At 43.1% G+C, this 20,308-nt stretch overlaps 3 annotated features.

The window, feature by feature from the left end:
* Positions 335-1,534: an enhancer, noted in NCBI's record as "BRD4-independent group 4 enhancer chr14:101789526-101790725 (GRCh37/hg19 assembly coordinates)". NCBI's record gives its function as "activates an origin of replication core promoter dependent on BRD2, P300/CBP, MED14 and CDK7 cofactors, and independent of BRD4, by STARR-seq in HCT116 cells {active_cell/tissue: HCT116}" and the evidence as "EXISTENCE:reporter gene assay evidence [ECO:0000049][PMID:35650434]".
* Positions 8,132-9,331: an enhancer, noted in NCBI's record as "BRD4-independent group 4 enhancer chr14:101781729-101782928 (GRCh37/hg19 assembly coordinates)". NCBI's record gives its function as "activates an origin of replication core promoter dependent on BRD2, P300/CBP, MED14 and CDK7 cofactors, and independent of BRD4, by STARR-seq in HCT116 cells {active_cell/tissue: HCT116}" and the evidence as "EXISTENCE:reporter gene assay evidence [ECO:0000049][PMID:35650434]".
* Positions 18,939-19,440: an enhancer, noted in NCBI's record as "NANOG hESC enhancer chr14:101771620-101772121 (GRCh37/hg19 assembly coordinates)". NCBI's record gives its function as "activates a minimal SCP1, AML or CMV promoter by ChIP-STARR-seq in naive H9 embryonic stem cells {active_cell/tissue: H9 hESC(naive)}" and the evidence as "EXISTENCE:reporter gene assay evidence [ECO:0000049][PMID:30033119]".

The following is a 20,308-nucleotide window of genomic DNA, read 5'->3' as shown; positions in this document are numbered from 1 at the left end:
AGTGGATGGTAACAGGCTGACTGGAGGAGGAAGCTGGAACTGAAAGAATTATTGTATCAGCAGCGAGTCTCATTCGACACCCATCTTTCTTCTTTTCCCTCCAGTATCTTCCAATTTGACCTCAAAGGCAGCTGAAAACCTGGAATTACATATTGACTATGCACAGAAAAATCCCAAGGCAAGCCCTCTGTTTCTAGTCTGAAAGACAGGAAACAGGGGCCCTACAGGTCAGAAAGAATGGAGAAAATTCTTTTCCCTCTCGTGTGTTAGTGGTTGTCCTTTCTTGTCCTTTATGGAAACAATAACTCTGACAACTGCAGATTTCTTTCACAGGCCCATGAGTCAGTGGCAGTGGGATGGCGTTTGTTAACTGCTGAAAGAAAACCGTCAACACAGAATTCTTTATCCACTGAAAATTTCCTTCAGGAATGAAGATGAAATAAAGACATTTGCAGAGGAAGGAAAACCAGGAGAAATTCTCCCCAGCAAACCTGCTTGCTTATTTGATTTTGGTACCTGTCATTAACCCTCATAAATAAAATCTGCTATTGTGATACTATGGAAGTTGCTAATTTTATCCTTGTTCTTAAAAAAATAGTGTTAGAAATAAATTTTCAGTGCTGTAAAAGAAATAGCACTCGAACATAAATTTAATTTTCTCAGCAAGGCAATTTTACTTCTATAGAAGGGTGTGACTCATAGATGGAGCAATGGTGAGAGCACACCTGAACAAGGGAGAGGAAGGGGTTCTTATCCCTGATGCAGGTAGCGCCTACTGCTGTGTTGTTCCCCTATTGGCTAGGGCTGGACCACACGGTCTAAGCTAATTCCTATTGGCTATTTTAAAGAGAGTCAGAGTGGTGGGGTGAGTGGTTTGCAGGAAGGACAGTTACAGAACAGGTGACTCAGGATGACTAAGAACAGAGCAGGTGACCAAGGATGACTAAGGTCAGAGCAGGTGACCAGGGGTGACTCAGGACGGAGCAGGTGACCAGGAGTGCCTCAGGATGGAGCAGGTGACCAGGGGAACAGATGTGAACTACTGATTAGAACTGGCGGATTGTTTACTGAGACTAGGGGCAAGGAGACGAGGAGAACGAAGAAGTTAACCTTGAAAATGAAGAGCAAAGAACAGGGGAGCTGAACGTACTGATACGTTGGTTCTTTGGAGAGGATCTCAGAACTCATTGTACTTAACAATTTACAGGCTAAAACCTCTGAAGAGGAAGTTATTATATCCTACAATTTCCCCCCTTCCAATTTTCATAGTCCTTCCTCTTCAAATCTTTTTAACATGTCTTGGCTTTGCTGCTCGACTGAATCCTCTAAAAGAAAAAAGCTGATCTGAATAAGGTGGAGGAGAGTTAAGGAAGGTTTTAGTAAGTGCTGCTTTTATAAGTCTTTGCACCAGCCCACGGATGCAGGGTATGACACAACACCTAACAAGAATGAGTGCACCTATTACAGCTGCAAGAGAAGTAAGAATTGAGGCTATGATTTCTTTCCATTTACCGAACTACTTTTCTAGCCATCCTGAGAAAGGGTTATTGACTTCAGAATTTTTAGCTAACAAGTTGGATAAAGCGGTAAGTCTTTGTAAGGCCCTTGTTATGCTCCCAGTGGGGGCAGTGTTGTTTGGGATAAAGGTATAACACTGAGTTTTAATCATAATACACACACCACCTTTTTCAGCTAATATCATATCTAGGGCCATTCTGTTTTCCCAGGCCATCTGGCTAGTGGGCCCCAATTGTTCTGCTATTCCTTTGACAGCATCCCTGGTGTATTTAACAAACCACTGATGATTATAATAGGTGTAATTCATCCAATCTACGTTTTTATTGTCACCCACGAAAATATTGAGCCAAATCCTGCAGCTATTTGATCTTGAGCTTTAAATTTGTCTGGTACTCCTTGAGGAACTCCAATAGCATTTACATAAACATGGGGGTCAAAGGACCCATGTGGAACACTTCTTCTTTTACGATTTTCTTAATCATATTGACGGAATGCTAGGGTGAAAGGGATGGCCACTTGGACTACAGCACAAGTGCTGCTCTAATTACTTGCAGAGTACCCAGCAATAGTCCCCTGCAATACCACCATGCACCTGCTCCAGGATGAACAAGGGCAAACTGATTGGTAAGCTCTTGAAAAGGCTTGGTTTTGCTGTACCCTGTTAAGTCTCCAAGGAATGCTAACTTTTCCTCCCTCCGTGAAAGGCATGAGGTGAAGTTAACATCAGGGGCTGGAGGCCGGATGGCCCTCGGGGGCTGACCCGCAGGGCTCTTGACCTCAGGGAGCAGCAGTGAAAGAGTCTTGCATGACTCATTGCCCCAGGCTGTGGGGTTCTGGAAGAGAGCTACCATACAGCTCATGCCTGGTCCATGAGAGGACCACACAAGTGGAAAGGGGACAGTTTGGGTCTCTGGCCTGCCTGTCACACAAGCATAACAGACGGTTTTGTTTAGCATGCAAACAGAATATTTAATCCATTCCAGCCAAGTATTTGCATCCTGATACCCTGTTTCAATTGCTATAGTTTGTTCTAAATCTTTAACCTCTACAACAGCTACTTTGGTTTTATCATTGGGTATATAACAAGAGAAGGTTTGGTTAGCAGAGAACTTAGGAGAGGGAGAAGGGGGTGCAGGAGGTGACAAGGCAATGAAGCACATTTCAAAAGATCCTATGGGGTCCTTCCCTGAGACTTCTGCTCCTACACCACAGAAATGGCCTAATAAAGGGGAAGAACTCTGGGGAGCAGAGATGGTCATCTGTGCTGGATTACACTGGCTCAGCTGGCAAAGGGGAGGGTAAACTCCTTTAGTAAAATGAATATATGGTTTTAGGAAACTGCAAATACTAGTTGGGGTGGTCCAACCTTCTTCTTTAGTATTTTATAGAGCATTGGACCAACTTCATCAGAGAAGCTGTGTTCTAGGAGGACAAGATTCCCAGTTCATACTGGAATCTTCGTCAAACTCCTCCCAAACTAACTTATCCCAGTTAACAGATTTCCAGTCTGAGGAGAGCTAGGAAGGATAAAGGAGCTTTTTTGAAGTGGAGAGTTTTCTCTGGTTTGGAAAATCTCCACAGGTCATCACAAGGCAAGCATCAAAAGTAATGGTTTGGGGTGAACTTGACCTAGTTACATTAATAACAAGAGGACTAGCAATAGAAGGGGAAAAGAAAGAGATGCAATATAAGAGGATCAAGCCTGTTTTCACTTTAGCTTGGTTGGGTTTGGCCCTGAAACAGCTGCCCAAGATTCTGGAGGGGGTGGTGCTCTTTTGACCCAGGTGGGATGAGTCCATCCTCTCTCTGCTGTTCGAACCGCCGTCTCGGTGTTTAGAAGCACTAGGTAGGGTCCTTCCCAAGCCGGTTCGAGTTTTCTTTCCCTCCAACTTTTGATGAGGATGTGGTCCTCAGGCTGATGCTGGTGTATTGGAAACTCTAGGGGTGGTACATGTGCTAAAAGACCTTTAGTTCTGAGGAAAGAGAAAGTGGAAGATAAACCAAGTACATAACTTCTGAGAAATCGATCTTTTGTTTTGAAAGTGGGAAGGTCAACAGTGGAGTACAAACAGGGCAACCTATATGACACTTCATAAGGGGCTAAGCCAACATCTTTCCAAGGAGCAGTTTGGATTCTCAACAGGGCAATGGGAAGGCATCTAGTCCATGGCACCCGAGTCTCTAAGACTATAGCTAGGCGGCTTTTTAACAGTTTCGTTCATTCTTTCCACTCTTCCTGATGAAGGTGGGTGCCAGGGAGTATGATATTCCCATGTTATATCTAGTACCTGGGCTAATTTCTTAATGGCATGTGCAGTGAAATGAGTCCTATTATCTGAATCAATGTTTTCTGTTAATCTAAACTTGGGTATAATATTTTCAACTAATGCCTTGACTGCATTATTAGCAGTTGTACTTGAAAAGAGAGTAGCTTCTACCCAATGAGTAAGATGATCTACTATTACTAATAAATACTTTAGACGACCAATTGGAGGCATCTCTGCATAATCAATCTGGATCCTTTGAAATGGCCTTAAGCCTGGACTCCTACCCCAAGGGGTAATCTTATAGTTTGTTTATTGGTTTTCTTTTATACTGAGCAAATGTCTGCAACCTGTTTGGCCAGGTTATAAATTCCTATGCACCCATAAACCCTGAGGACTGCATCACACATGGCTTGGGGCCCCCAGTGGGTCCCTTAATGCAGTTGGAACAAGATTTCCCTCATGAGGGGTTTGGATAACACTTCTTTCTGGTCTGGCAATATCCATTTTCCTTCTGAATTCTCTTTAGCACCTATTTCTTATTAGTTTTTTGACCAAAGAAAGCCAAACAGCATTTTATATTCGACAATGCTTCCTGTATGGTTTTATACCAGATCAGCTAAACTTCACCTTTCTATTAGTGTGCTATTAATGTTAAACTCGATTTTAATAAAATCTTGTAGACATATTTATCCAATTGTAATGTCTAACCATAAGGTAAGATTTTTAGCGACTCTTTTTAACCCTTTATAATTTTTGTTAAAGAACAAGTTAGTGCTTTAAGAAAAACCCATTGTGCTTTTATTTAAATGTCCTGTTTACAGAAAAACTGGATGATACCCCTTTAACTTTAGCCAATATGTTTACACACAGAACTTCCTCTACAATTAACGTTTCAAAACTTGCTTAAACCTTCAAAACAATTTTAACCTTTTAATGTAGGTAAAAATCCACATTCTTATGCCTCCTTATAATTCTTTTACCAAAAGTATATTTTACTTTCCTTACACACCTTGCACATAAACTGTTTCTTCAAAAGTTTTACAGCGAGGAGGCCTACTTTTAAATTATGCAACATTTCTTGCATAAATTCTCTTTAATAACATTTTTCATGACTTCCACAGACAATCTTTGACATGCCTTAACTTTCTGACTTGTTGTAAACATCCCTTTCTTTAAACAACCAGTCAATTTATTTTAGGATAAGAATTTACCATATAAGATTCTTTCTACATAAACTCTTCTTTTTTTAATGTCAAAGATGATAACCATTCTTTTCCAAAGCAAACTTCCTTCATGTCTGTGGACTAGACTGCCTAAGGCCACAAGGTTAGAAGTTAGAATGATACATGTTACACTGTTAACTTTTAGCAAACTTTACTTTTGTTGAAAACCTTGGAAGTTTGGGATTTTAATTATGTGCTGGGTTTAGAGCTTAGGACCTAGACAGAAGTGTAGATAAGGTCTGGCCCATTCTAGCATTTAACTCCATGTGTCCTGGGTTTTACCTAGCTGCAAAGCAGGCCAATTGTACAGCTAAGGAACGGTAGCCTGTTTGGCTATCTGATTTGCTAGGTTATTTCCTCAGCTTTCAAAAGAAAGGCGTTTTTGGTGTCCAGGGACGTGGACAGTACCTATTTCTTTTGGCACTGAAGGTTATTTAATACTTGGGTGATTAATTCCTTGTGGACCAGGTCTTGCCATTTGCTATTAATAAGGCCTCATTCAGTCCAAATGTTTCCAAGTGTGTGAGCCACTCCAAAGGCGTACTTAGAATTGGTATAGATGGTTCCTTCCTGGTTCTGTAAGTACTTTAAGGCTTGGCTGAGTGCAAACAGCTCACACATTTGAGCAGACCAATTATTAGGCAATTTTCCTAACACTATTTCTATAAGAGTTTCTCTATCGATTACTGAATGCCAATTGTGTCTTTTTCCCTCAACCACCTGGGAGGAACTGTCTATAAATAAGTGTCGTCCTGTCCTGAAGGAGTTTCTCCTAGGTCTGGTCATACCTTTGTATGGTAATCAGTTAAATCTAAACATGTATGCTCTTTCTTTAGATTTGGATCTCCTATTAGGAAACCTGCTGGGTTAAACAAATTGTCAGTGGTTAATGTTAAATCATGTTTTTTCTAACAGAATAGCATCATGCTTTAAGATTCTTGAATCAGTAAGCTACCTTTTTGTTTTCTGACTTAGGATAGTTTTGACCTGGTGAGGTGTGCTCACAATGAGGTTTCCTCCAAAAGTTATTTTTCTACATTCTTCTGTTAGCAAAGCAGTTACCACTACAGATTGAATGCATTTGGGCCATCCGCGGGTTATGAGGTTAGGGATTTTTGATAGGAAGGCTACAGGTTGCCAGTGGCTTCTGTGTTTGGGGTAAGTACTTCTAAGACTACACCCTTGTTTACACTGACAGAGAGATGAAAGGGCAGTTCTAGGGAGAGAAAAGCTAGGACAAGGGCAATTACTAGTAACAACAGGGTTGGTGGTTTGGACTATCTGATTAACAGCGCTAAGGTCTTGCACTAACCGGTAGGACCCGTCTGGCTTCTTTATAGGCAGTATTGGAGTGTTACAGGGAGACATATAGAGTTTAAGAAGCCCATCACGTAGAAGACCTTCAATTATCAATTATAGGTTTTAAATTTACATTGGCTTTTAAAGGAATAGGATATTGCTTTCTCTACTACTTCCCCAGGGGTTTCTAATTTAACGTGAATCGGAGGAATCTGTAACTTTCTTCGATTCCCGTCTTTTGACCATACCTCGGGATGAATGTGTTCTTTGTCTGTGGTGGTGAGCAAATTTAGGGAGGGGAGAAATTTTCCATGATTGATTTGGAGGCCTAAGCCTAATTTTAGCATTAAATCTCTTCCTAATAGATTTGTCCCTGCTTCCAGAATTAACAGAAATTTAATACTAGCTGATCAGTTTTTAAATTTCACTTCTGTCTGCTCTAAGATTTTTGCTCTAAACCCCTCTCCTTTTACCCTGGAGATAAAAAGTTATCCTTGTGAACAAGTTACACTAGATGGAAGATAAACTGAGAAGCGAGTTACTCCTGAATTGATTAAAAAGGTAATAAGCTTAGGTTTAGGTCCCACTTCTAAATTTAACAAGGGTTCTTGGTGGGACTCAAGATAAAAAGCTAGCACCCCTGACTTCCCTAATCTTCTTCAAAAGCCATAAGTGGGATGACATTTTCTTCCTTTTCCCATTTGGGACATTGTCTTTAAAAGTGATCTATTTTTCCACTTTTGAAACATTTGCCGTGTAATTTCTTAGTAATGTCTGGCCAGCTATTGGTGACAAAGTGGAGCTTTAACATTCTTTGTCCAAGGAGGTCTTCTGATTCTAGGTCAGCGTATTTTCTCTTTTGCTCTTTAAGCCTTTCTAAAAATTCTGTCTGTCCCTCATCTTTTCCCTGTTTTATATTAAAGCCCTTGGTAAGACTCTGGGTGCAGAGCACCAATTTTCAAATTCCTTTTATTACCATCTCCCTACGGTCTTTCATATTTCCTCAATGGGCTATATTGTTGTTATCCCATTGAAGATTCTGGGCTGGGAATTTTTGTTCAGCTGCTGGGACGTTCTGACCAGGAGGGTGTTTATGTTCCCAAAATGTCATAGCGGCCCTGCGTATCATGCTCCTCTCTTCTCCTGAGAATGAGATGCCTAAGACAGACATTAACTTGTTCCAAGTATACAACTGGGGCCCTAAAACTGATCAGTTTGATCTGCCACTCTATAAGGGGCATCTAAGAGTGGTTTAAGCTCCTTTTTTTTAGGTTTAGCGGAAGGGTCTGGGGTGGCAGCTGCTTGGGGGAGAAGAAGGTTCTTTAGTCCAAATAAAACAGCAGTATTTTATCATTTGCTGCTTTTTCTTGTATTTGGTCCTTCCATCATCTTTCTAATATTCATTCTAACATTAGGCCTAGGGGACTGTTAGAGGGGATATTATCATGATCATGATCTTTCCTATCTTTACTTGCTATATTTCCCATCCTGGAGAAAGTGTTTTTCCCTGAGTCCATGGGGCTCAATCTCTCTTATTAGAAATTTCTTGCACCCTAGTGAGTCTGTAGGGCTTAACCTCTCACCCTCCAGCTTTTGTGTCATCCTTCTGCGTCTGCTTCCATTGTGGGGATTTTCAGGTCCTTCTTAGGATAAGCTGTATGAGGTGATTGCAGAACCAGATCCGGACTCTGTACTTGCTCCGCCCTCAACTGTGTGTTTCACTCGCACACTTTCAACCTCCAGGATGTCCTGACCACCAAGGAATACTTCACTGCCCCCCATGGCTTTTCTTACCTTGATATGTCCCAAAAAAGAAATACTTCACTGCCCTGCAGCTTTTCTTATATTGGTCCCAACCACCAAGGAAATACTTCACCATCCCCGCGGCATTTCTTACCTTGGTCTGTACACAGAGTTACCTGGTCACCATGGTATGTATTTGTAGGCCTTTTCTTCCTGCATTGCTGAGATTCTGGCTTTATTCATTGCACTGGGTGGGTCCCAATTCCTTACCTCTGAGGCCACCACAACGTGGCAGCAGGGTGTGCCTCCTCACAGGAGAGGATGGGACCCTTCCCCAGAGAAGAATGGGAATCCTGGGCAGACCCGCAAATTTGTTAGAAATAAATTTTCAGTGCCACCAAAGAAATAACACCCAGACATAAATTTAATTTTCTCAGCAAGGCAATTTTGTTTCTATAGAAGGGTGCACCTCGTGGATGGAGCAATGGCAAGAGCACACCTGGATAAGGGAGGGAAAGGGGTTCTTATCCCTGATGTAGGTAGCCCCTACTGCTGTGTTTTTCCCCTATTGGCTAGGGTTGGACCACACAGTCTAGGCTAATTCTGATTGGCTATTTTAAAGAGAGCTGGAGTGGCGGGGAGAGTAGTTTGGCGGGAAAGACAGTTACAGAACAGGTGACTCAGGATGACTAAGAATGAAGCAGGTGACCAAGGATGACTGAGGTCAGAGCAGGTGACCAAGGGTGACTCAGGACAGAGCAGGTGACCAAGGGTGACTCAGGATGGATCAGGTGACCAGGGGAACAGATGTGAACTACTGATTAGAACTGGTGGGTTGTTTACTGAGACTAGGGCCAAGGAGATATAAAGAACAAGGAAGTTAACGTTTAAAATGAAGAACAAAGAACAGGGGAGCTGAATATACTGATACGTTGGTTCTTTGGAGAGGATCTCAGAACTCATTGTACTTAACAATTTACAGGCTAAAACCTTTGAAGAGGAATTTATTATATCCTACGATAGCATTACATATTTCAGACCAAGAAGTCTAGAATTATTATGAGCCAGCATTAACTGACTTGCCTGAGGCTACACATCTGGTTTGTAACTAGGCAAGGTTCGGACGTAGATTTTCAAGCTCACTCATCCTGGGGTGCTGATTTACACCAATGTACACTGGCCAGGGGCACCAGGACAAAGAATGCCAATACTGGTTCAAATGATCATCTTTTTAGATAGGCACTTCTCATTTGTTGACTAAATTTTATGATCAGTTTGGAACTTTTATGTTGAATTTCTATGCTTTTGGTTGCTTCTCTAATTTGGCCTTCTTGCAGCCCATTCCATTGTGAAAGATATAGTTGCAAACCATAATTATTAATAAACAATAAGGAACAGGGTTTATTCACTTACTTTGAAGATACTCTATCTCTTCCCAAAATAACCACCTATTCTAGTATACATTAAAATATTTTTTAATTGACTTGATTGAGGTGTGATTTCATGAGGTTTGACTAATCTTAGTGAAATATTTGTCACCAAAAGTTCTGCCATGTGACCTCATAGTCAACTCTCCCTATCCCGTGGCCACAGGCAGCCACTGCACTGCTTTCTGTGAAAAGATGGGCTCATGCCTTAGGCATTGTTTGTGTCTGGCTGATTTCGTTCAGCATAATATTTTGGGATGTTTATCCATGTTACTGTGTGTATCAGTAGTTTGTTCTTGTTTATTGCTGAGTAGTGTTCTATTGCAGAGATATGCTCTAATCACCAGCAAGTAGGCATTTGCATTGTTTCCAGTTTGGGGCTATTAGGAATGAATGTGCTTTGAACATCTGTATATAAGTTATTTTGTAGACGTGCATTTTTCATCCCTCTTGGGTAAATATTTACAAGTAGGATTTTTGGGTCATGGATAAGTACGTGTATGTTTAACTACTAAGAAAGTGTCGGCTGGGTGTGGTGCCTGTAATCCCAACACTTTGAGAGGCCAAGGCGGGTGGATCACCTGAGGTCAGGAGTTTGAGACCAGCCTGACCAATATGATGAAACCCTGTCTCTACTAAAAATACAAAAATTAGCTGGGCATGGTGGCAGGCATCTGTAATCCCAGCTACTCGGGAGGCTGAGACAGGAGAATCGCTTGAACCCGGGAGGCGGAGGTTGTGGTGAGCTGAGATCGCGCCATTGCACTTCAGAATGGGCAAGAAGAGCGAAACTCCCTCTCAAGAAAAAAAAAAAGAAAGAAAAGAAAAAGAAAGTATCAAACGGTTTTCTGAACTGTGTGGACCATTTTGCTTGTCCACAAACAATATATGACGGTTCCAGGTTCTGCAAATCCTCCCCAGCACCTGGTATTCTGCGGTGGTATCTCACTGAGGCTTCCCACTTGCATTTCACACGTGACTCATGGTGCTGAGTCTCACATGCTTACCAGCCATGTGTATGACTTCTTTGGTGAAGGGGCTGTTAAAATCTTTTATTCAGTTTTAAATCTAGGCTATTTGTCTCTGTAACTTTTTAAACAGGTAAAACAAGGCTCAGGAAGCCACCCACATAGAGAGCCACGGACAGGCGCACCCAGGGACATGGGACACACAGAAGGAGGGACACCCACATGGGCACACCAGTCCTCTCGGGGAGACGTGTGCACACGCAGACCCATGCAGGAGGGCAGAAGGGGGTGCACTTCAAGTCTGACAACATGTCCTCACATACACATGCATGCACATGCATGCAGACATGGTGGAAGATGCCCAGTCACACAGTCCAGTGCTGCTCCTGTGCCCCCAACAAACTGGGAAGGTTTGTATCGGGGAGGGATGTGAAAGGTGGTAGAGGACAGGGCAAGGTTCCTTGCCCTCCAGTCCGCAAACTATCAGCCCTGGAGAGCGTTCTGCGTGCCTGCAATGGGCAGCAGGAAGAAGTAATAGATAAGAACAATGAAGGAAGAGCCATGAAGGCAGCAAAACACCAGCTTCAAGGAGCTGCCTGAGAGAGCAGCCCACGGGAAGCCTCCCCCACCATGTCGCCTGTTGTTGGGGATGAAACCAACTTGGGGGCAGATGGAGGGGGCTCCACAGGAGAGAGAGCCCAGGGAGAAGCAGGTCGGGGCAGGTGTCTTGGCTTGATACCCAGTGGCCCTCCATGGACACCGCAGGCCAGGGATGCAGTGTGCAGACCACCCTGTAGGGGCGTCAGACACAGAGCCACTCACACAGGGGCCTCTCTCCACAACAGAAGGCCACAGGAGGTCACAGCTGGTGTCCCATTGCTGTGCAGGGCTCTAAATGCAGGTCCGGGGACTGGAGATTAATCTTAGAGACTTTTTTTCTCTTTAATTAGTAGACTTTTTTTTTTAAGAGTAGTTTTGATTTTACAGAAAAATTGACCAGAAAGTATATAAAGTTCCCAAATATGCCCAAGCACAATTTCCTCAATGATTTCTATCTTGCATTAGCATGGTACCTTTGTTGTAATTGATGAGCCAATTGATACATTATTATTAATCAAAATGCACAGTTTACATTAGGGTTCACTCTTGGTGGTGTGCATTCTGTGGGTTTTGACCAGTGATAATGTCAAGTATCCATCATTACAGTAAGCTCACTTCTTCATCCCTCCTTTCGTTCCTCCAAATCCCTGGCAACCACAGATCTTTTTACTGTCTCCATAGTTTTGCCTTTTCTAGAATGTCATTCAGTTGAAATCACGCAGTAGGTAGCCTTTTCAGATTGATTTATTTCCCTTACTAATATGCTTTTAATATGTCTTTTCATGGCTTAATTAGCTCAATTCTTTTCATTGCTAAATAATATTCCACTGTATGCATGTACCATAGTTTATTAATCCATCTCTGCTTTGTATATCTTCTTTGACGAGGTGTCTGTCCAGATCTCTTGACCATTTTTAATTGGGTTGTTTTCTTATCGTTGAGTTTTAGTTTTTTGTGTTTTAGACACGAGTCCTTTATCAGACGTGTGGTTTGAACATCTTTTTACCCCAGTACGTGGCTTGTCTTTTCATCCCTTAGCAGTAACTCTCACAACCAGATGTGATGAATTTTAATGAAGCCAAACTTACCAATTTTTTCTTTCATGGATCATGCTTTTGGTGTCGTATCTAAAAAGTCATCACCAAACACTTAGGCTTTCTCTTATGTTATCCTTACAAGTTTAATAGTTTTGTGGTTTACACTTAGGTTTATGATCCCATTTTGACTTATTTTTTGTGAAGGGTGTAAGTCTGTGTCTATATGCATTTGTTGGCATGTGTGTCTGGTCATCACAGCACCACTTATTGAAAAGACTATCTTTCTCCATTAGGTTGCCTTTGCTCTTTTGTCAAAGATCAGTCGATTATATTTATAGAGCCTATTCCTGGGCTCTCTGATCTGTTCCATTGCTCTGTTTGTCTATTATTTTGCCAATACCACACTGTCTGTTACTGCAGCTTTGTAGCAAGTCTTCAGGTCCTCTAAGTTTTCCTCCTGGATGTTATATTAACTATTCTGAGCCTTGCCTTTCAGTCTAAGTTGAAGAATGTGATTGTCAATATTCACCAAGTAACTTGCTGAGATTTTTATTGGGATTGCACTGAATCTATAGATCAAATTGGGAAGAACTGATAACAATATCATGTCTTTCTATCCATAAACATGGAATATCTTTCCATTTATTTAGATCTTTTATTTATTTCATTAGAGTTTTGTAGTTCTTCTCACATAGATTTTGAACATGTGTTGTTAGATTTGTACCTAAGTATTTCATTTTTCTTGGTGCTAATTATTATCTTTTTAATATCAAATTTCAACTATTCATTATTGATATATAGAAAAGCAATGACTTGTATGTATTAATCTTGCATCTTGCAACCTTGTTACAATCATTTATTAGTCTCAGGAGGGTTTTTTGATGTGGGGGATTTTCTACGGACACAATCACGTCATCGTAAAAAAAAGGCACTTTAATTTCTTCCTTTCTAATCTGTATGCCTTTTATTTTCTTTCCTTGTCTTATTGCATTAGCTAGGACTTTCAGTACAATGTTAAAAATCAGTTGTATAAATGTAAATAATTATTATTTATTGCGAAAGAAAAATATCTTGGGCCCCCAAAATCACTAAGCGAAAGGGAAAAGTCAAACTGGGAACTGCTTACGGCAAACCTGCCTCCCATTCTATTCAAAGTCATCCCTCTGCTCACTGAAATAAATGCATATCTGATTGCCTCCTTCGGAGAGGCTCATCAGAAACCCAGAAGAATGCAACCGTTTGTCTCTCACCTACTTGTGACCTGGAAGTAGCCTCCCCGCTTAGAGTTGTCCCACTTTTGCTTAGATTCTGGACCAAACCAATGTTCATTTTACATATGTTGATTGATGTCTCATGTCTCCCTAAAATGTATAAAACCAAGCTGTGTTCTGACTGTCAGGGCTCTGAGCACAAGCTAAGCCATCGTATCCCATGTGACCTGGAAGTATATATCCAGATGGCCTAAAGTAACTGAAGAATCACAAAAGAAGTGAAAATAGTCTGGTCCTGCCTTAACTGATGATATTACCTTGTGAAATTCCTTCTCCTGGCTCATCCTGGCTCAAAAGCTCCCCCACTGAGCACCTTGTGACCCCCACCCCTGCCAGCCATAAAACAACCCCCTTTGACTGTAATTTTCCACTACCTACCTAAATCCTATAAAACGGCCCCACCCCTATCTCCCTTCCCTGACTCTCTTTTCGGATTCAGCCCGCCTGCACCCAGGTGAAATAAACAGCCTTGTTGCTCACACAAAGCCTGTTTGGTGGTCTCTTCATACAGACGCGAGTGAAATTTGGTGCCGTGACTCGGATTGGGGGACCACCCTTGGGAGATCAATCCCCTGTCCTCCTGCTCTTTGCTCCATGAGAAAGATCCACCTATGACCTCGGATCCTCAGACCAACCAGCCCAAGGAACATCTCACCAATTTTAAATCCGGTAAGTGACCTCTCTTTACTCTCTTCTCTAACTTCTCTCACTATCCCTCAACCTCTTTCTCCTTTCAATCTTGGTGCCACACTTCAATCTCTCCCTTCTGTTAATTTCAGTTCCTTTCCTTTCCTGGTAGAGACAAAGGAGATGCATTTTATCCGTGGACGCAAAACTCCAGCACCGGTCACAGACTCGGGAAGACAGTCTTCCCTTGGTGTTTAATCACTGCAGGGACGCCTGCCTGATTATTCACCCACATTTCATTGGTATCTGATCACCGCAGGGACGCCTGCCTTGGTCATTCACTCACATTCCCTTGGTGGCAAGTCAATTGCAGGGACGCCTGCTTTGGCTGCTCACCCACATTGCAGCCCAGGGCTGCTCACCCCACCCATTCTCTCCATGCCTCTACTCTCTCTTTTCTCTCCACTTTCCTGGGGGGCAAGCACCTCCCACCCCTTTTCCACTTTCCTGGGGGACAAGCACCTCCCACCCCTTCTCTCTGTGTCTCTACCCTCTCTTTTCTCTGAACTCGCCTCCTTCACTATAGGCAACCTTCCACCCTCCATTCCTCCTTCTTCTCCCTTAGCCTGTGTTCTCAAGAACTTAAAACCTCTTCGACTCACACCTGACCTAAAACCTAAATGCCTTATTTTCTTCTGCAACACCGCTTGACCCCAATACAAAATCGACAATGGTTCCAAATAGCCGGAAAACAGCACTTTCTATCTCTCCATCCTATAAGATCTGGATAATTCTTGGTGTAAAATGGGCAAATGGTCTGAGGTGCCTGATGTCCAGGCATTGTTTTACACATTGGTCCCTCCCTGGTCTCTGTTCCCAATGCAACTTGTCCCAAATCTTCCTTCTTTCCCTCCCACCTGTCCCCTCAGTCCCGACCCCAAGTGTTGCTGAGTCTTTCCAATCTTCCTTTTTTATGGACCCATCTGACCTCTCCCCTCCTCCCCAGGCTGCTCCTCGCCAGGCCAAGCCAGGTCCCAATTCTTCCTCGGCCTCCGCTCCCCAACCCTATAATCCTTTTATCACCTCCCCTCCTCACACCCAGTCCCGCTTATAGTTTTGTTCTGCCACTAGCCCTCCCCTACCTGCCCAGCAATTTCCTCTTAAAAAGGTGGCTGGAGCTGAAGGCATAGTCAAGGTGAATGCTCCTTTTTCTTTATCCGGCCTCTCCCAAATCAGTTAGCGCTTAGGCTCTTTTTATCAAATATAAATACCCAGCCCAGTTCATGGCTTGTTTGGCAGCAATCCTGAGACGCTTTACAGCCCTAGACCCTAAAAGGTCAAAAGCCCATCTTATCCTCAAAATACATTTTATTACCCAATCTGCTCCCGACATTAAATAAAACTCCAAAAATTAAATTCCAGCCCTCAAACCCCACAACATGACTTAATTAACCTTGCCTTCAGGGTGTACAATAATAGAGAAGAGTTGCAATTACTTGCCTCTGCTGTGAGAGAAACCCCAGCCACATCTCCAGCACACAAGGACTTCAAAACGCCTAAGCCACAGCGGCCAGGCATTCCTTCAGGACTTCCTCCCCCAGGATCTTGCTTCAAGTGCTGGAAATCTGGCCACCGGGCCAAGGAATGCCCGCAGCCCAGGATTCCTCCTAAGCCGTGTCCCATCTGTGTGGGACCCCAGTGGAAACTGGACTGTCCAACTGGCCTAAGGCTCTGACTAGCTCCTTCCCAGATCTTCTTGGCTTAGCGGCTGAAGACTGACGCTGCCCAATCACCTTAGAAGCTTCCTGGACCATCACAGAAGCTCTAGGTAACTCTTACAGTGGAGGGTAAGTCTGTCCCCTTCTTAATCAATACAGAGGCTACGTACTCCACATTACCTTCTTTTCAAGGGCCCGTTTCCCTTGCCTCCATAACTGTTGTGGGTATTGGCAGCCAGGCTTCTAAACCCCTTAAGACTCCCCCACTCTGGTGCTAACTTGGACAACATTCTTTTATGCATTCTTTTTTAGTTATCCCTACCTGCCCAGTTCTCTTATTAGGCTGAGACATTTTAACTGAATTATCTGCTTCCCTGACTATTCCTGGACTACAGCCACATCTCATTGCCACCCTTCTTCCCAACCCAAAGCCTCCTTCATGCCTTCTTCTCATATCCCCCCACCTTAACCCACAAGTATGGGACACCTCTACTCCCTCCCTGGCAACTGATCACCAGCCCATTATCCCATTAAAACCTAATCAACCTTACCCTGCTCAACACTAGTATCCCATCCCACAACAGGCTTTAAAGGGACTGAAGCCTGTGATGACTCACCTGCTACAGCATGGGCTTCTAAAACCTATAAACTCTCCTTACAATTCCCCCATTTTACCTGTCCAAAAACCAGACAAGCCTTACAGGTTAGTTCAGGATCCGCACCTTATCAACCAAATTGTTTTGCCTATCCCCCCCATGGTGCCAAACCCATATACTCTCCTATCCTCAATACCTCCCTCCACAACCCGTTATTCTGTTCTGGATCTCAAACATGCTTTCTTTACTATTCCTTTGCACCCTTCATCCCAGTCTTTCTTCGCTTTCACTTGGACTGACCCTGACACCCATCAGGCTCAGCAAATTACCTGGGCTGTACTCCCGCAAGGCTTCACAGACAGCCCCCATTACTTCAGTCAAGCCCAAATTTCTTCCTCATGTGTTACCTATCTCGACATAGTTCTCATAAAAACACACGTGCTCTCCCTGCTGATCGTGTCCAGCTAATCTCCCAAACCCTGACCCCTTCTACAAAATGACAACTCCTTTCCTTCCTAGGCATGGTTAGGTACTTCCACCTTTGGATACCTCGTTTTTCCATCCTGACTAAACCATTATATAAACTCACAAAAGCAAACCTGGCTGACCCCACAGATCCCAAATCCTTTCGCCACTCCTTTCCATTCCTTAAAAACAGCCCTAGAAGCTGCTCCCACACTAGCTCTCCCTAACTCATCCCAACCCTTTTTCATTAACACAGCTGAAGTGCAGGGCTGTGCAGTCAAAATTCTTACACAAGGACTGGGACCATGCCCTGTGGCCTCTTTATCCAAACAACTTGACTTTACTGTTTTAGCCTAGTCCTCATGTCTGTGTGCGGTGGCTGCCGCTGCCTTAATACTTTTAGAGGTCCTAAAAATCACAAACTATGCTCAACTCTCTACAGTCACTCTCTACAGTTCTCATAACTTCCAAAATCTATTTTCTTCCTCACACCTGACACATATACTTTCTGCTCCCCTCCACTACCTCTCAGCAAGCCAAACTCATTTCCTTAACTCAAGCCCTACTCTTGCAAAAGGACTACTTGTCAATATTTATACTGACTCTAACTATGCCTTCCATATCCTGCCCCACCATGCTGTTATATGGGCAGAAAGAAATTTCTTCACTACACAAGGGTCCTCCATCATTAATGCCTCTTTAATAAAAACTCTTCTCAAAGCCGCTTTACTTCCAAAGGAAGCTGGAGTCATTCACTGCAAGGGCCATCAAAAGGCATCAGATCCCATTGCTCAGGGCAACGCTTATGCTGATAAGGTAGCTAAAGAAGCAGCTAGCGTTCCAACTTCTCTCCCTCATGGCAGTTTTTCTCCTTCTCATCGGTCACTCCCACTTACTCCCCTACTGAAACTTCCACCTATCAATCTCTTCCCACACAAGGCAAATGGTTCTTGGACCAAGGAACATATCTCCTTCCAGCCTCACAGGCCCATTCTATTCTGTCGTCATTTCATAACCTCTTCCATGTAGGTTATAAGCTGCTAGTCTGCCTCTTAGAACCTCTCATTTCCTTTCCATCGTGGAAATCTATCCTCAAGGAAATCACTTCTCAGTGTTCCATCTGCTGTTCTACTACTCCTCAGGGATTGTTCAGGGCCCCTCCCTTCCCTACACATCAAGCTCGGGGATTTGCCCTTGCCCAGGACTGGCAAATTGACTTTACTCACATGCCCTGAGTCAGGAAACTAAAATACGTCTCGGTCTAGATAGACACTTTCACTGGATGGGTAGAGGCCTTTCCCACAGGGTCTGAGAAGGCCACCGCAGTCATTTCTTCCCTTCTGTCAGACATAATTCCTCAGTTTGGCCTTCCTACCTCTATACCGTCCAATAACGGACCGGCCTTTATTAGTCAAATCACCCAAGCAGTTTCTCAGGCTCTTGGTATTCAGTGGAACCTTCATACCCCTTACCATCCTCAATCTTCAGGAAAGGTAGAATGGAACAGACTAATGGTCTTTTAAAAACACACCTCCCCGAGCTCAGCCACCAACTTAAAAAGGACTAGACAATACTTTTACCACTTTCCCTTCTCAAAATTCGGGCGTGTCCTTGGAATGCTACAGGGTACAGCCCATTTGAGCTCCTATATAGACACTCCTTTTTATTAGGCCCCAGTCTTATTCCAGACAGCAGCCCAACTTGGACTGTGCCCCAAAAACTTGTTATCTGTACTATCTTCTGCCTAGTCATACTCTTATTCACTGTTCTCAACTACTCATAAATGCCCTGCTCTTGTTTACACTGCCGGTTTACACTGTTTCTCCAGGCCATCACAGCTGATATCTCCTGGTGCTATCCCCAAACCACCACTCTTAACTCCCTCTTAAAGTAAATCAATAATCTTTGCTGGCAGGGCTATGCTGAACCTCCTTGGGCACTCTCTAATTGGATGTCCTGTGTCCTCCCAATTCGTAGTCCTTTAATACCAGTTTTTCTCCTTCTCTTATTCGGACCTTGTGTCTTCCGCTTAGTTTTTCAATTCATACAAAACAACATCCAGGCCATCACCAATTATTCTATATGACAAATGCTCCTTCTAACAACCCTGCAATATCACCCCTTACCACGAAATCTTCCTTCAGCTGAATCTCTCCCACTCTGGGTTCCCACGCCACCCCTAATCCCGCTTGAAGCAGCCCTGAGAAACATCGCCCATTATCTCTCCATGCCACCCCCCCAAAATTTTCACTGCCCCAACACTTCAATACTATTTTATGTTATTTTTCTTATTAATATAAGAAGGCAGGAATGTCAGGCCTCTGAGCCCAAGCTAAGCCATCGTATCCCCTGTGACCTGCACATATACATCCAGATGGCCTGAAGTAACTGAAGAATCACAAAAGAAGTGAAAATGGCCTGTTCCTGCCTTAACTGATGACATTACCTTGTGAAATTCCTTCTCCTGGCTCATCCTGGTTCAAAAGCTCCCCAACTCAGCACCTTGTGACCTCCACCCCTGCCAGCCATAAAACAACCCCCTTTGACTGTAATTTTCCACTACCTACCCAAATCCTATAAAATGGCCCCACCCCTATCTCCCTTCCCTGACACTGTTTTCGGACTCAGCCCGCCTGCACCCAGGTGAAATAAACAGCCTTGTTGCTCACACAAAGCCTGTTTGGTGGTCTCTTCACAGGGACGTGCGTGAAACTGACCACCTTGGACACATGTCATCAGGACCTCCTGAGGCTGGGTCACAGCCTTGTGACCTCAAACTTGGCAAAATAAACTTTCTAAATTAACTGAGACCTGTCTCAGATTTTCGAGGTTCATATTATCAATTAAAAACCAAAATTTAAATTAAAAAAAAAGGAAAGCAGTGTTGAGGAGGGCATTCTTACCTTGCTCCTGATCTTAGCAGGGAAGCTTCAAGTTTCTCAACTTTAAGTGCAACCACTGTTGGCTTTTTGTTGAGCTTTGACAGCTGTGGGTTCCTTATCAAGTTCCCCTCTAGTCATCTTTGCTGAGAGCTTTTATCATGAATGGGTGTTGGATTTTGTTAGATGCTTTTTCTGAATCTGCTGATATGATCATGTGATTTTTCTTCTTAAGCCTGTTGAGGTGATGGATTACATGACTAGATTTTCAAATGCTGAACCAGTTTTGTGTACCTGAGATAAATCCCACTCGGTTGTGGTATATAATTCTTTTTATGCATTGTTGGATTTGACTTGCTAATTTTTCATCGAAGATTTTTGCACCTATGTTTACGAAAGCTATTGGCTTATGGCTTTCCCTCCTTGTGTCTTTGTCTGGTTTTGGTTTTAGAGTAATGCTGGCTTTATAGAATGAGTTACAAAACATTCCTTTTGCTTCTATTATCTGGAAGACATCATAGAAAATTACTATCATTTCTTCCTTAAATGTTTGGTAGAGTTCATCAGTGAACCCATTCAGACCTAGTTCTTTCTGTTTGGAAGGTAGTTATTTATTGATTCAATTCCTTTAATGCATACATACCTATTCATATTATCTATTCTTTCTTGT

The sequence above is a fragment of the Homo sapiens genome, chromosome 14 (assembly GCF_000001405.40).
Source record: "Homo sapiens chromosome 14, GRCh38.p14 Primary Assembly".
Lineage (NCBI taxonomy): Eukaryota > Metazoa > Chordata > Mammalia > Primates > Hominidae > Homo > Homo sapiens.
Note: the sequence above shows the minus strand (reverse complement) of the source record. Positions and strands in the feature narration are given on the sequence as shown.